This window comes from Homo sapiens, chromosome 1 (genome assembly GCF_000001405.40).
Source record: "Homo sapiens chromosome 1, GRCh38.p14 Primary Assembly".
Taxonomy (NCBI): Eukaryota; Metazoa; Chordata; class Mammalia; order Primates; family Hominidae; genus Homo; species Homo sapiens.
Genome location: NC_000001.11, coordinates 184,909,844 through 184,925,104, shown reverse-complemented (window position 1 = coordinate 184,925,104; position 15,261 = coordinate 184,909,844). Strand labels below are relative to the sequence as shown.

The following is a 15,261-nucleotide window of genomic DNA, read 5'->3' as shown; positions in this document are numbered from 1 at the left end:
ATATGCACCCAACACTAGAGCACCCAGATATTATAATAAGCAGCTAATAACAAGCAAATTAATAATAAAGATTGGAGCAGAAATAAATGAAATGGAAATGAAAAAACAATACAAAAGATCAATGAAACAAAAAGTGGGGTTTTTGAAAAGATAAGTAAAATTGACAAACTTTAGTCAGACTAAGAAAAAAAGACAAGACCCAAATAAAATTAGACCTGAAAATGGAAACATTACAACCAATGCTGCAGAAATTCAAAGGATTATTAGTGGCCACTATGGCTAACTATATGTCAATAAGTTGGAAAACCTAAGAGAAATGGATAATTCCTGGATACCTACAACCTACCAATATTGAATCATGAAGAAATTCAAAACTTGAACAGACCAATAACAAGTAATGAGATCAAAGCTGTAATAAATATATAGCAAAGAAAAGCCCAGGGCCTGATAGCTTCACTGCTGTATTTTACCAAACATTTAAAGAACTAATACCAATCCTACCCAAACTATTCTGAAAAACAAAGGAGAAGCAAATAGTTCCAAATCATTCAATGAGGCCAGTATTACCTGACACCAAAAACAAAGACACATCAAAAAAAGAAAACTACAGGCCAATATTGTTGATGGATGTTGATGCAAAAATCGTCAACAAAATACTAGTAAATTGAATTCAACAAAACATTAAAAAGATCATTTATCGTGATGAAGTGGGATTTATCCCAGGGATGCAAGGATGATTCCATATATGTAAATCAATCAATGTGATACATCATATCAACAGAATTAAGGACAAAAACCATATGATCATTTCAATTGATGCTGAAAAGCATTTGATAAAATTCGACATCCCTTTGTGACAAAAGCCCTCAAAAACTGGGTATAAAAGAGACATACCTCAACACCATAAAAGCCATATATGACAGGTCCACATGAAATCCTTTCCTCTAAGATCTGAAACACAACAAGGACACCCACTTCATAACTGTTACTCAACATAGTACTGGACATCCCAGCTAGAGCAATCAGACAAGAGAAAGAAATAAAAGGCACCTAAACTGGAAAGGAAGACATCAAATTATTCTTGTTTGTAGATGACATGATCTTATCTTTAGAAAAATATGAAGACTCTACCAAAAAAAAAAAAAACTATTAGAACTGATAAACAAATTCAGTAAAGTTGCAGGATACAAAATCAATATACAAAAATCAGTAGCATTTCTATATGCCAGCAGTGAACAATCTGAAAATGAAATCAAGAAAGTAATCCCACTTATAATAGATGCTAATAAAATTAAATACCTAGAAATTAACCAAAAGAAGTGAAAGATCTCTACAATGATAACTATAAAACACTGATGAAAGAAATTGCAGATGGCACACACAAAAAGGAAAGATATTCCATGTTCATGGGTTGGAATTATTAATATTGTTAAAATATCCATACCACCCAACCCAAAGCAATCTACAGATTCAATGCAATCCTTATCAAAATACCAATGACATTCTTCACAGAAATAGAAAAGACAATCCTAAAATTTATATGGAACCACAAAAGACCCAGGATAGCCAAAGCTATCATGAACAAAAAGAACAAAACTGGAGGAATCACATTACCTGACTTCAAATTGTAGTACAGAGCTATAGTAACCAAAACAGCATGGTGTTGGCATAAAACCAAACACATACACCAATGGAACAGAATAGAGAACCCAGAATAAATCTATATATCTACAGTGAACTTATATCCCACAAAGGTAACAAGAGCATACTTTGGAGAAGGGACAGTCTCTTCAGTAAATGGTGCTAGGAAAGCTGGAGGTCCATACGCAGAAGAATGAAACTAGACCCCTACCTCTTGCCATATACAAAAACCAAATCAAAATAGATTAAAGACTTAAATCTAAGATGTCAAAGTATGAAACTACTAAAATAAAACATTAGGGAAACTCTCTAGGACATTGGACGGAGCAAAGGTTTCTTGAGTAATGTCCCATAAGCATGGGCAACAAAAGCAAAAATGGACAAATGGGATCCCATCAAGTTAGAAGGCTTCTGCACAGCAAATGAAACAATCAACAAAGTGAAGAGACAACTGACAGAATGGGAGAAAATATTTGCAAACTATCCATCTGACAGGGGCTGATAACCAGAATGTATAAGAAGCTTAAACAACTCTATAAGAAACAATCTAAGTTAAATCAGGCGTGATTTAACTCACGTCTGTAATCCCAGCAGTTTGGGAGGCCGAAACAGGTGGATCACCTGAGGTCAGGAGTTCGAGACCAGCCAGACCCACATGGTGAAACCCTGTCTCTACTAAAAATACAAAAATCAGCTGGGTGTCATGGCAGGTGCCTGTAATCCCAGCTACTTGGGAGGCTGAGGCAGGAGAATCACTTGAACCTAGGAGGCAGAGGTTGCAGTAAGCTGAGATTGTGCCATTGCACTGCAGCCTGGGTGAAAGAGTGAGACTCCAACTCAAAACAACAAAACAAACAAACAAAAACAAAAAAACAAAACAAAAGGGACAAAAGATCTGAATAGATATTTCTCAAAAGAAGACAACCAAATAGCAGACAGGTACATGAAAAGGTGCCCAAAGTGAGACCTTTGTATGTTCTCACTTGTTTGTGGGAGCTAAAAATTAAAACAATTGAACTCACGGAGGTAGAGAGTAGAACAGTAGTTACCAGAGGCTGGAAAGAGTAGTGGGTGAGGTGAAGGGGGTTGATTAATAGGTAAAAAAATGTAGTTAGATAGAATGAATAAGATCTAGTATTTGATAGTATAACAGGGAGACTACAGTCAACAATAATTTATTGTACATTTAAAAATAACTAAGTATAAATGGATTGTTTGTAACACAAAGAAAGGATAAATGCTTGATGTGATGGCTACCCTATTTATACTGATGTGATTATTACACATTTTATGCCTTATCAAAATATGTCATGTATCCCATAAATACATATACCTACTATGGACCCACAAAAATTAAAAATTAAAAAAAATGAAGGAGATGTGAAAGGTAATTGGTGAGGGTGTAGTTGTGGGGAGAGTAATTCCTTCTACTCTCATCAACTTAATTATGTGCGTGTAATTCACATTTGTATTTCAAAGGACTTGTGTGTTATAATATAATACAAAAAGCATTTGCTTTTATAGAGAAACAGATAAGCCCCAATTGGTATTATTGATATTATTATACAATTACTGCTTCTTTAAAGTTGAGCCTACGTGCTGAAAATAACCAGAGCACAGAATCATAGTTTAGCTAAATTGCCTTATTAGAACCATTTGAATGTTCCTGAAAATAATGGCAGAATTGATGCTAATTTGGAGGTTACTATTGATTGACTGCTCCTCTTGAAATTATTGAATTGATAATGCTGTGCTTTGGCAGCTGATGGCCACCCATTTGCCTTGATTGTTACATACTAACTTAATGATATGTACTAGTTTTAGTTGGGCAAATATTGTGTGCTTTCTAAGCAGCCTATTACTTTGTACTGTTTCTTTGGAGAAAATTTCTTTCTTATCCACTCAAAAATGAAATATGTCTTAAAAGCACAGCCCTTTGTAAAGACGGAAGGAAAAATTTGTATCTATGGGCCTACTACCCAGTGATAATCACTTATCATTTTGGTATATTTTCTTCCAGTCTTTCTTCTCTGCTCAGCTGGTTCTGTTTCTTTTACTTTTTTGTGATCGCTGTCTCTATAAAAGTCTGTATTCACTTTTTTGTTGTTTTCGCTTACCTTAGGATGTCTTTTTATATGTTAGATATGTTTTACAAATTTTTTTTTTGAGACAGAGTTTCACCCTTGTTGCCCAGGCTGGAGTGCAATGGCGCAATCTCGGCTCAGTGCCACCTCCGCCTCCCGGGTTCAAGTGATTCTCCTGCCTCAGTCTCCCAAGTAGTTGGGATTACAGCCATGTGCCACCACGCCCGGCTAATTTTTTTTTTTTTTTTTTTGAGACAGAGCCTTGCTCTGTCACCCAGGCTGGAGTGCAGTGGTGCAATATTGGCTCACTGCAACCTCTGCCTCCCTGATTCAAGCGATTCTCCTGCCTCAGCCTCCTGAGTAGCTGGGACTACAGGCGCCTGCCACCACACCCGGCTAATTTTGTATTTTTAGTAGAGACGGGGTTTCACCATGCTGGTCAGGTCTCGAACTCCTGACCTCAGGTGATCCACCTGCCTTGGCCTTCCAAGGTGCTTGGATTACAGGCGTGAGCCACCGTGCCTGCCTACAAATATATTTTTAATGGTTGCATTCATTTTAAAATATAGAATGCCTTACTTCCCTGAGTTTACCATTTTCTTGTATTTCATTATACATAATTAGATCAGAAAATACATTTCTTTTTGGTAGGAGAAAATTATTGTTTGCTTCGACTTTTATAATTTTAAAGCAGTTGATAGACTACCAAATTTAATAATAATTAAGATATTTAATAAATATTGCATGTTCTTACTCATGTGGAAGCTTAAAAAAGTTCATCTCATAGAAGTGGAGAGTAGAGTAGTGGTTACTAATAGTGGTTAGAAGCTGGGAAGGGTGAAGGGAATAGGGAGAGGTTGGTTAAAGGATGTCAAATTATAACCAGGAAGAATAAATTCTGGTGTTCTATAGCACTGTAGGGTGAGTATAGTTAACAATAATTTGTTATTTATTTTCAAATAGCTAGAAGAGAGGATTTTTTAATGTTCCCAACACAAAGAAATGATAAATGTTTGAGGTGATGAGTATGGTAATTACCCTGATTTGATCATTACACATTGCAAATATCAAAATATCACACTCTGTATCCCATAAATCTGTACAACCATTGTGTCAATTATTATGTCTTATGATCGCTTCAAATAGCCATAAACGTTAATTGGTTGTATTTCATATCTTTCCGATAATTTAGTCATGGGCTCTGAGTTTCTTTCTTAAGATGAGAGCCTTGATTTTCCATTTTTACACGTCTTGTAGGTTTCCTCCTCCTCAATGTCCTCCAGTTGGAGGCTCAAACCCACTTCCTCTTTAAAGTTTGCTGCATTTCCTGTCCATTCATTTCCCTGACTTTGGTGTCAGGTCTTATTTATTTAAAATTATAACAACTATAAGTTTTTTCTTTCTATCCCTGGGTAATGAATTGCAACAAGACTTTTCATCCCCAACACCTCCCCCTCCCCCAGCCCCTGAAAAAAGGAAATTTCTTCTGCTTGAAGGTACTTTTGATTGCCTGTGATTAAAAACAATTTTTTTTTGTTATCTGGAGATTATTAAAGAGCCAATGACTCATAGAAGGCATTGTATATTTACGTATATATTATACTCATTACCTAGGATGTTTACAGAATTTCCCCCTTGGGAGTTAATATGCAGCTGCGTTTTATTCCTCACCTGTTACCATTACCCTAATAGAGACAAGTCCAAAGTACCACGGAAACCCTTCAGGAGAAACAGCAAAACAGATGACAAAGCAGCTCATTTCTTTTCTTCTTAATGGTCTCTTTTTTTAAAATTATTTCCAAAGCAAATTTGAGTGTGTTTTGATTTTCCAGGAAGTAAATAACTTCTGATATTAAGACCGTTTAAACGTGGTTATTTTCCCCTTTGCACTGAATCGGATTAAGCCAACCAAGTATTTTGTGCCATATAAACATGGTCTTAATCTAAATATTCACCTCAAAACTTTCTTTGTAAACATGTAGTTTTGATGCCTTGGCTTCCAGCAGAATGGTAAGCTTCACATGGGATTTGGAGAAAAGGAATCAAACACTCCAGCGCTCCCTTTGGGAACTCCTTCCCTGGAATCCAAGGCTGCTTCAGGCAGGTCACCTTGATTCACCTATAGGTCAGGACAGGCCAGTTTGTACCAGATATTTACATGCTTAAATTACTGATCTTTTTTTGTTTGTTTGTTTTCAATGTGTCTCACACTAAATCACTGCATAGCTAAACATATTACTTTAGGATGAGTCTTTCTGACAACTTAAAATTTATTTGTAGTCTTTCTGGTTCTCTAATGAAGGAATAATAAACTCACAGTATGTAAGAAAAAGAATAGTTTTGGAATGGAGTTTTCTAAAGAATTTTAGAGGTTTTTTTTTACAAGTTTAAATGTTGGTGTAAATGTTCCATTTGTGTGGCAAATTAATTTTCCATGTGCATTCCCTTTATTCCAATGGTGGAGGATGTTGGGAGGGTGGACAGGGAAAATACACTCACTATACAGCTAATATCAATTCTGTGCCTGCTACTGACCACTCTAGGCTCTCAGGAACAAAGATGAGCAATGCACTTTCAATGAGCTGCTATACTGGAGAGAGAGGGCATGTAAATAAATCACTATATTACATTATGGTGTAGACATTGGAGAAATGGGGGTTCAGGTAAAAGACTGGGTAAATATAGAAAAGGGAACAATTAATTCTGACCAAGGCGTTAGGTAAGGAGAATTCAGGAGAAGCTTCAAGGTAGACTTGCAATTTGACTTTGCAGATGAATAGGAATTTATCTGGGTCTATAGGTTCTAGGAAGGGTGAACAGTACAGGCAGTTATAATGTGCTATGCTTAACCACTGTGGGGAACGTGCCATAGCCAGCATATACAACGCTCTGTGGATAGAGGAGAAGCTGGACAGGTGGGTTGGGACCAACTTGAGAAGAGCCTGGAAGAACCCAAGGTGGCTTTTATCAGGGGAAGGACCTGATCAGTTATGTGTTTTCTAATGTTACCTTTGCCGTGATGTGAAGAGTGGGTTTGAAAGGGGAGCAGTTAGAGGCAAAGTTAGGAGCTCATTGCAGTCATTATTTTTGTAAGAGACGAGGGCCTGAACCAGTCGTTGGTGGCAAGATTGCTTTTGAGAGAGATCCCCAAAGCCCAAAGGGCAGGGTTTGCTGACTGTGGCACCTAGAGGAGGAGATCCAAAAGGATGATTCTGAGGTTTCTACTGCAGGCACCCAGGTGATGGTGAATCTGTTAACCGAGACAGGGGAGCAAATTCGAAGTGCCTGTCAGGACTTTCACAAGGAGTTATTCAGCAGGAGACATTTGGAAATATGCGGCAGGGATCCAGGAGAGGTTGGGACAGCAAACACACATGTAGGAGTCATTGGGTTGTACAGGCAGTTCAGTGGGGTTGCGTTTTTAAGGGAAAGAGTGACTGATTAAGAAGTGGATAGAGGTGATGAATCTGAGAACAATGGATTCAGGGTATTGTTTCAAGAGGTTTGATGGTTAAGGGTAAAAAAGAGGGCAGTTGCCTGAGAGGTAGATGAGTAATTTTCTTTTCTGGGACTTGAATGCATGTGTGGGTGAAAACTAGTGGTGAGGAAGACAATGGCAATCCGAGAAAAAGGAGATAATTAATGTAGTGAGTTTGGACGAAAAATATTGGGGGGGTCTTCCTTTTGAGGTGGACAGGAGGAGGAAAGTATAGTAGATGATGAGATGAACTTAGAGGTGGATAGAAGAGAAATGAAACTTATTATATCTCCATTTGCTTAAAAGAGGAAGTCTGAGTAAAGGGAGGGTGGAGAAGGGAGTTTAAGGATACTTTTGAAGATGTGAGAGCTGCTTTGAAAAGTGGAAGAGACCGGCCGGGCAGGGTGGCTCACGCCTGTAATCCCAGCACTTTGGGAGGCCGAGGCGGGCGGATCACGAGGTCAGATCAAGACCTTCCTGGCTAACATGGTGAAACCCCGTCTCTACTAAAAAAAAAAAAAAAAAAAAAAAAATTAGCCGGGCGTGGTGGCGGGTGTCTGTAGTCCCAGCTACTCGGGAGGCTGAGGCAGAATGGCATGAACCCGGGAGGTGGAGCTTGCAATGAGCTGAGATCGCGCCACTGCACTCCAGCCTGGGCGACAGAGTGAGACTTCATCTCAAAGAAAAAAAAAAAAAAAAGTGGAAGAGATAGTCATGGGGATAAGAAAAAGTTTGCTGAACAGCAATGAGTCCAGCCCAGGCTGGGGCTCATTTGTCTGCAGCGGAGCCAAGCGCACAGCATAGCAGTGTTTTCTGTACTGCTGGGAAGCCTGCAATAAGCAGCCGGGAAAATGGGCAGGTGGGTTGATCCGTGGCTAGATATTGGCTGGGCAGATTTTGAAGAAAGATTTTCTTAGGGATAGGAAAATCAAAGATATTCTTGACTGGTGTTAGTGAATCAACTATGAGTCCTGGAGATCAAGGATAAGTAGTGAAGGAAGTAAAACTTGGAGGGGTTCTAGGGTTAGGGAAATCGGGAGGGGCAAGAGCTTGGAAGGCTGAAGGAGATGAATAGTAGAATAAGCAGGTTTAAACGAGAAAAGAAAAAGGAAATAATGTTATGGATCAGGCATAGTATTTTCATACATATCTAGTTTATCAATTCATAAGTCATTCCTTCAATAACAAAAATATTTATTTTTGTCTTATTATAAATATAAAATATCTTTATTTTGTTATATTAAATGGAACAAACACTTTTCAGTCTTATCCTGGAAATTGAATATTTTACTTAAAAAAAACCCCTCATTTTAAAACTTTGGCCAAGTTGTATATGGTTTATTTGGAGACACACACACACATAATTATTCAAGGGGAATAAAGGGAAGTTAATGAATTGGATTTTTTTTGCTCATAGCTAATTTATTCCCCATCTACTGTGGTAGTAAAATAAAAATTAAATATTTACAGTTAGCCTATCATTGTCATGTACCTGTTACAATTAAATAAAGTGAAAATTTAAAATGTAAGCTGAAGTTAAGTTTCCAACCTAAGTTTCTTTTAGCATTACATGTAAATAATGTATTTACCTATTACAACTTTCTTTTTCCCCTCATTACCATTTTTTCGTTCCCCTACATCGATATCTCTGTTACAAAGCAATGGTATCTATTTATACTATGCAGATCAGCTTCAATGATGTGAAGAGCTCACAGAAATAATAATAGACACATTTATTTGCATATTATGTTTCTGCTTCTGCAAGTAATATTCTTTCTTATAATGCTTGTATCTTTTATTTGGAGAACTTCAAGTGATCTGGAAGAATCCCATTGTATTCCATAAAGGAGAGTAGATGAGCAGATGGCTTCCACATCTGCAAAATGGGAATGTTCGTGGACTTCTGAAACTATATTGAAATTTCAGAATTCTCTGTGGCAGTTATATAATATGCTCCTTGAAACAACAGCATATTCAGGAATGGACTAGAATCCAGGCCTTTTGCCAACAAGCCATTCTTTAATCCTACTGAGGTCATTATTTTCTCTATTTCCTAAAGTCAACAACCTGACATTAAGGAAGCCTTTGCTATGCAGGTTTCTTTCAACCTATGTCTCTCTGTCTCTGTCTCTTTCTCTTTCCCTTTTATATCTGTTATTCAAATTACATTTATGTGTAGTTACACATTAGTTGTTCTCTCTTACCTCCATTCTAAGTTCCTTCACTAGATTTCAAAAATCGCTTACCACATCAAATACAGCCGAGGCCATCCATCCTTCAAGCTACCCATCATCAGAGCCATACCTTATATATTATTCTATTCCTCTCCATCACAACAAAACAAAGGAAAACTGATCAAGTGCCCTCAGCATTCTGGAATACAATCTCCCCCATCACCCCAGAAGTACTAAACCATCTTACTATTCTTTAGAGGGCTTTGAAGTTGGTACTTTGATACCAGTGAGCACGTATGTTGGTGCAACTAACTTCTCCAGAACAAGAGCCTTCTCCCTCTGCGATTGTACAGATCCAGGCATCTTGCTAATGCTTACAAATGTCAGATTTATTCTTCATTACAATGCTATTGAATATAACAAACTGGCCTCATCGTAAGAATCTCCTGGAGGAAGATATTGAAAACACAGTTTCTCTGACTTCCCTCATATAGATTCTGATTGAGTAGGTCTGAGGTAGGGAATGGAATTTTCTACTTTTTATCAGGCAACTCAGGAGAATCTTATGACCAGTAAGACAAAGGAAACACTGAGATTGGTGATTTTTATCCCTATTTTAAGATGAAGACATGAAAGGTTTTCTAGAGACATACTGCTCAATATGGTAACCATTAGCCACACGTGGCTATTAAAATGAAAGTTAATGGGCTGGGCACAGTGGCTCACGCCTGTAATCCCAGCACTTGGGGAGGCCAAGGCAGGCGGATCACGAGATCAGGAGATCAAGACCATCCTGGCTAACATGGTGAAAACCCGTCTCTACTAAAAGTACAAAAAATTAGCTGGGCATGGTGGCGGGTGCCTGTAGTCCCAACTACTCAGGAGGCTGAGGCAGGAGAATCATTTGAACCCAGGAGGCAGAGGTTGCAGTGAGCTGCGAGATCACGCCACTGTACTCCAGCCTGGGTGACAGAGCGAGATTCTGTCTCAAAAAAAAAAAAAAAAAGAAAGTTAACTAAACCATTAATTTTGTAAAAGTATGTGAGATGAGAGATATGTTAATCTTCTTCACTACAGTAACCATGTTACTACCCATATGTATCCCATAGCATCATGTTGTAATCCTCAATTATACATAAGAAAATTTATCTTAAAAACTAAAGAGAAAAGAAAAACAGGTATTAAGTTTTTCAGTCACACTAGCCACATTTCAAGTGTTCAGTAGCCCCATGTTACCAGTGACTGTTGTACCGCACAGAACAGATACAGAACCTCTCTGTCATCCCCAAAATTTCTATTAGACAACACTTCTAGTAGACACCACATTTGTTAGCATGTGATGTTTTTGCTTCTGCGAGTAATAACCTTTCTTGGAATGTTTATCTTTTATTTGGAGAGCTTCATGTACTCTGAAGGAATCCCGTTATATTCCCTCAAGGAAAGCAGATGAGCAGATGGCTTCCACATCTGCAAAATGTTTTCTAGAGAAAAAGTGACTTGCCCAAAGTCATATAATTAATACGTAGTGGAACCAACTTAATGAGGATTTAGACCTGCACCTTTCTGAAGTAGAATCTTGTGCCACTGTAAGTCCAGCTTTGTTCAGTGGAGACTGAGTCAGCTTGAGGGAAAGGATTGAAAGTTTGCTCTGTGCTGAGATTGAACAAGCTCTCCTCAGATATTTCTGAAAGCCTAGATGTCTATGTCTTCCTTTTTGGGTAGTAGGACTGAAACAGAATGGGCCTCTGAGAATGGCTTAGTATAAACCATTAATGGTACCATATTTGGGGGAATGCAGACAGATGACAGCCATTAATCTGACTGCACAATAAGCCAGATTTGCATCCATGGCTGCAATCCACTTCTTACCTACATCCAATCAACAGGAAGTTCACCTGGTTCAAGAGAGCATCTACTTTTAAAATGTTTCCTTTTCGCAGTGTGGAAATAACAGTTGCTCTTATGTCTAGGCAGTCCTTCAGGTACTCACAGTGTTTCAAATTTAAATCAGTGGTTTGGATTCTGGAGTACTTTTATCTTGCATAACAAATATTATTGAATGTTGGTTTGGTTTTCACCTATAAAAATCTGCAATGTACATAAAAGAAATAATACACCTGAATTATAATACAGAACTATAAGTACAATATCAATTATATGTAACTGCCATTTACAACTTGTCTTTTATGAGACTATACAATAAACATTCCAACTGTATGCTGGGAATAATTCTTCCCATTCTGTTAACCCATAATAGTTTCAATGGAGTGCATGAGCTCAGGTACGTGAGCTGATATGTCTTGGGCTCTTACTAACTTTCTACACCTATATAAATGATGCATCTCTCATTGGCAAAGACACAAAAGTTTGAGAACATGCTGGTGAGCCTGTGTGTAAATGATGATCTCCTATGATAATGGTGGCAGTGCAAACGGTATAATTCCTATGGAGGTCAATGTGTCCATTTTTATAAAAATTACAAATGCATTTCCTCTTTGACTTAGCATTTTCATGTCTACAAATTTTTCCTATATATATATATACCTGCATGGTATGAAAGGCATATATATATAATATATATATATATATACCTGCATGATATGCAAGGCATATATAAAACAATTCATTGCAATATTGTGCATACTAGACAAAGGAAACTGCCCAAGTATCCATCGATAGGGGACTGATTAAACCAGTGGTTCTAAACTTCAGTGTGGATCATAATCACTTGGAGGGCTTGCTGAAACACAGATTGCTGGATTGTACCTCCAGAATTTCTGATTCAGTAGGCCTGGGGCCAATGGGCAAGCAGAGCTAAAATCCAGCCCATGTTGCATTCTACATTCATGTGGGGCTGGCTGCATCTGCCCTGAAGAAGGGGCACCTTTCCATAGTTTGCACGTAAATGCTATACAGCTAGCAGTAGTCTGAGACTCTATGAAAAAGCTGTCAGTCTCATAAAAATCATAAATGTATTGTTATTCTGATAAAAATGCCAGCATTGTTTTTCCATAGGACTTGACATAATTCACCCTAAATTTATAAACAATTCCTACATGTCAGTAAGAAGACAAATGGGGAGAGGATATGGAGTCACAGGATAAGAAACCGCAATGGCCAGTAAATATATGAAAGGTTGCTCAGCCTCACTAGTAAGTGCAAATGAAGGCACCATTTTTCACCTGTTGAAACAGGCAAAAATGTGGAAGTGGGACAGTACCGAGAATTCCTGAGGATGTGGGAGGAGGTAACTCTTATACCCTGCTAGTGGGATGTGAATTGCGCAGCCACTTTGGAGGGCAGTTTGGCTATATGAAGTGCAGGTGAAGATGCTCACCCTTTGACCTAATATTCTTAACACACGCAGTAGAGAAACTTGTATATATGCACCAGGAGATTCGTGCACCAATGTTCACATCAGCATTGATTGTATGAGCAAAAAGAGAGGAAATATGTGAGAGGTCCATCAACAAGGAAATAAATTGTACTATATGTTAGAATTATAAATAACAGTTAAAATAAGTAAACTAGAATTAAATATACCATGTACATGTGTGTATATATATTTACATACATATATGAGCTATATATCATAATGTGAGTGAAAAAAACAAGCTGCAGAATGATAGGTAGAATTAAGCTTGAACACATGGATAATAATATTATGTATGGATACATACATACGTTGTAAGAGTCTAAAATGATTGACAGGTGTAAACACCAGTTTTAGCGTAGTGGTGCCTGGTGATGTTGTGGGGCAGGGTAGAGGGGGTTGCAAATGTAGCTGTAGTATTTTGTTTAAAATTTTTTTGAGGCAAATGTGGCATAGTATCACCATTTTATTTAGCTGGGTAGTAGGTATATATATTATTCACTTTATTATTCTGTCTGAACTGTTTCATAACTAAAGAAAACATGCACGTACACCAAACTGTTGTTATAGTAGTCTATAACTCAATGTATCTCATCTCTTGGCTCATATAAAGTTGGATACAGAGCAGGGTCCAGAGAAGCTTTGTTAAAGACTTTTTAAATACCATGCAGATGATGGGACTGGTTCATAGCAGTACTTTTTAACCTTGATTTTGTGCAAAACAGATTCTTAATCAGTAGATAAGAAAATCTACCTAATTAGTGCATTTTCCCAGGGAGCCTTATGGTATTAGCCAGCAAAGACTGCAGCTTTAATTGAGACAGTGATGCAACTTAATTGGAACACCTGAATGCGATTAAGGGAGGGGGTACTCATATAAGGTCAGCTGGTTTCCCTGGTGCCCAGAGCTCTGCTGGGTCTATACCTTTTTGCTGACAACCTCTGCCAACTGGGATGAAGCTGAGCCAAATGCTTTTACTGTCTTTCTTAGATCACTTAATGAAATGTTTTAAATACAGATTCCATGTATTTCAGTGTGTATTGTGAAACACATTGGCATGCTGATTCTACTGGTAAACTTTAGAACTTATTACATAGAAGCACTAGATATTTGCATTGCTTTTAATTGTTATTGATGCAGGAGTTTAATATATATTAAGTGAAATAAATTGATAATTGTGTTGAGACTCAATAATGTATTTTAGTTGATTACATCTTTATTTGGGTTCTCCAGAGAAACATAACTAATGGGATATATATATATGTGTGTGTGTGTGTGTGTGTGTGTGTGTATTTGTTATAAAGAATTGGCCCACACAATTATGGAGACTGACAAGTCCAAGGTCTGCAGCTGGTAAGCTGGAGGCCCAGGAAAGCTGATGATGCAGTTCTAGTCTGAAAGCTAGCAGGCTGGAGACCCAGGAAGAACCCATGCTCCAGTGCATGTCCAAAGCCTGGAAAAGACCAATGTCCAAACTCAAGGGATTCAGGCAGGAGAAAATTTCGTCTTACTCAGGCTTTTTGTTCTACTCAGGCCTTCAACTAATTGGATGAGGGCCACCCACATTGCCCAATCGGCTTTACTCAGTCCACCCGTTCAAAAGTTAATCTCTTCCTGAAACACCCTCACCAACACACTCAGCATAATGTCTTGGCATCCCATGGCTCAAACTGACACATAAAATTAATCATCAAAACATCTTTTTGCCTAAATTTAAGATCATTTCACAAGGCTTCTGGACAATGTAGTTTTTATTACCAAAGAGTACTTATATTCCTTTATTAATTTAAAAAAGTGCTTGAATTCCTCCATAAAAATTAATGTAGTACTAACAGAGAAGAAAACTCTTTAAAAATTGACACTAATCTTTAAAAAAGTTTTTTTTGTAAATATTCTATTACTAACTAGTTTTGTGACCTTGGATCAATTAATTTCTTGATCTGAAAATAGGAGAGCATTGGAAAGGACGATTGTGATCCCATCCAGCTCTAGAGGTCTGTAATCTTTGATGTTTTCATCAGTATATGGATGTTGGAATGTGACTGGCATTGGTATGTCTATGCTACCTGCTACCATCCAAATGAACTCAAGTTGCTTTCTTAGGTGGATTGTGGAATGTAGTGGAATGTAGTCTCAGTTATTTACAGTTCTACTTCATACTTAATCTCCTTGGTGCGTATAATGACTAGTTAGAAGTAAGTGAATTTCACCTATGAGGCCTAGACTCCAAGCAGAGCTGATGTCATGAGATTCCAGCACATTTATTAAGTGCTAGGTGAACTCACCTTATGGAAGAGCAATTTCCATAGGAAAAAGGAGTGATTTTAAAGAATGTACTATCTACATAGTCAATACTATTGGATTTTCAGGTGGAGTTTTTGGCCTCTATTTTTAGAGCATCATGTACCATAGCTTTGGGGGTAATTTTTCACTAACATACATTACTTAGGAATGTTTAAATTTAGTGATTAACTGATCCAGTGACTGGCAATCATTAGATTGCCAAATAA

At 37.7% G+C, this 15,261-nt stretch overlaps 1 protein-coding gene across 6 annotated transcripts in view; it reads left to right on the top strand.

The window, feature by feature from the left end:
* NIBAN1 (niban apoptosis regulator 1) overlaps positions 1-15,261 on the top strand; it is a 183,477-nt gene that overhangs the window by 49,404 nt on the left and 118,812 nt on the right. The gene's annotated exons all lie outside the window — the stretch shown is intronic.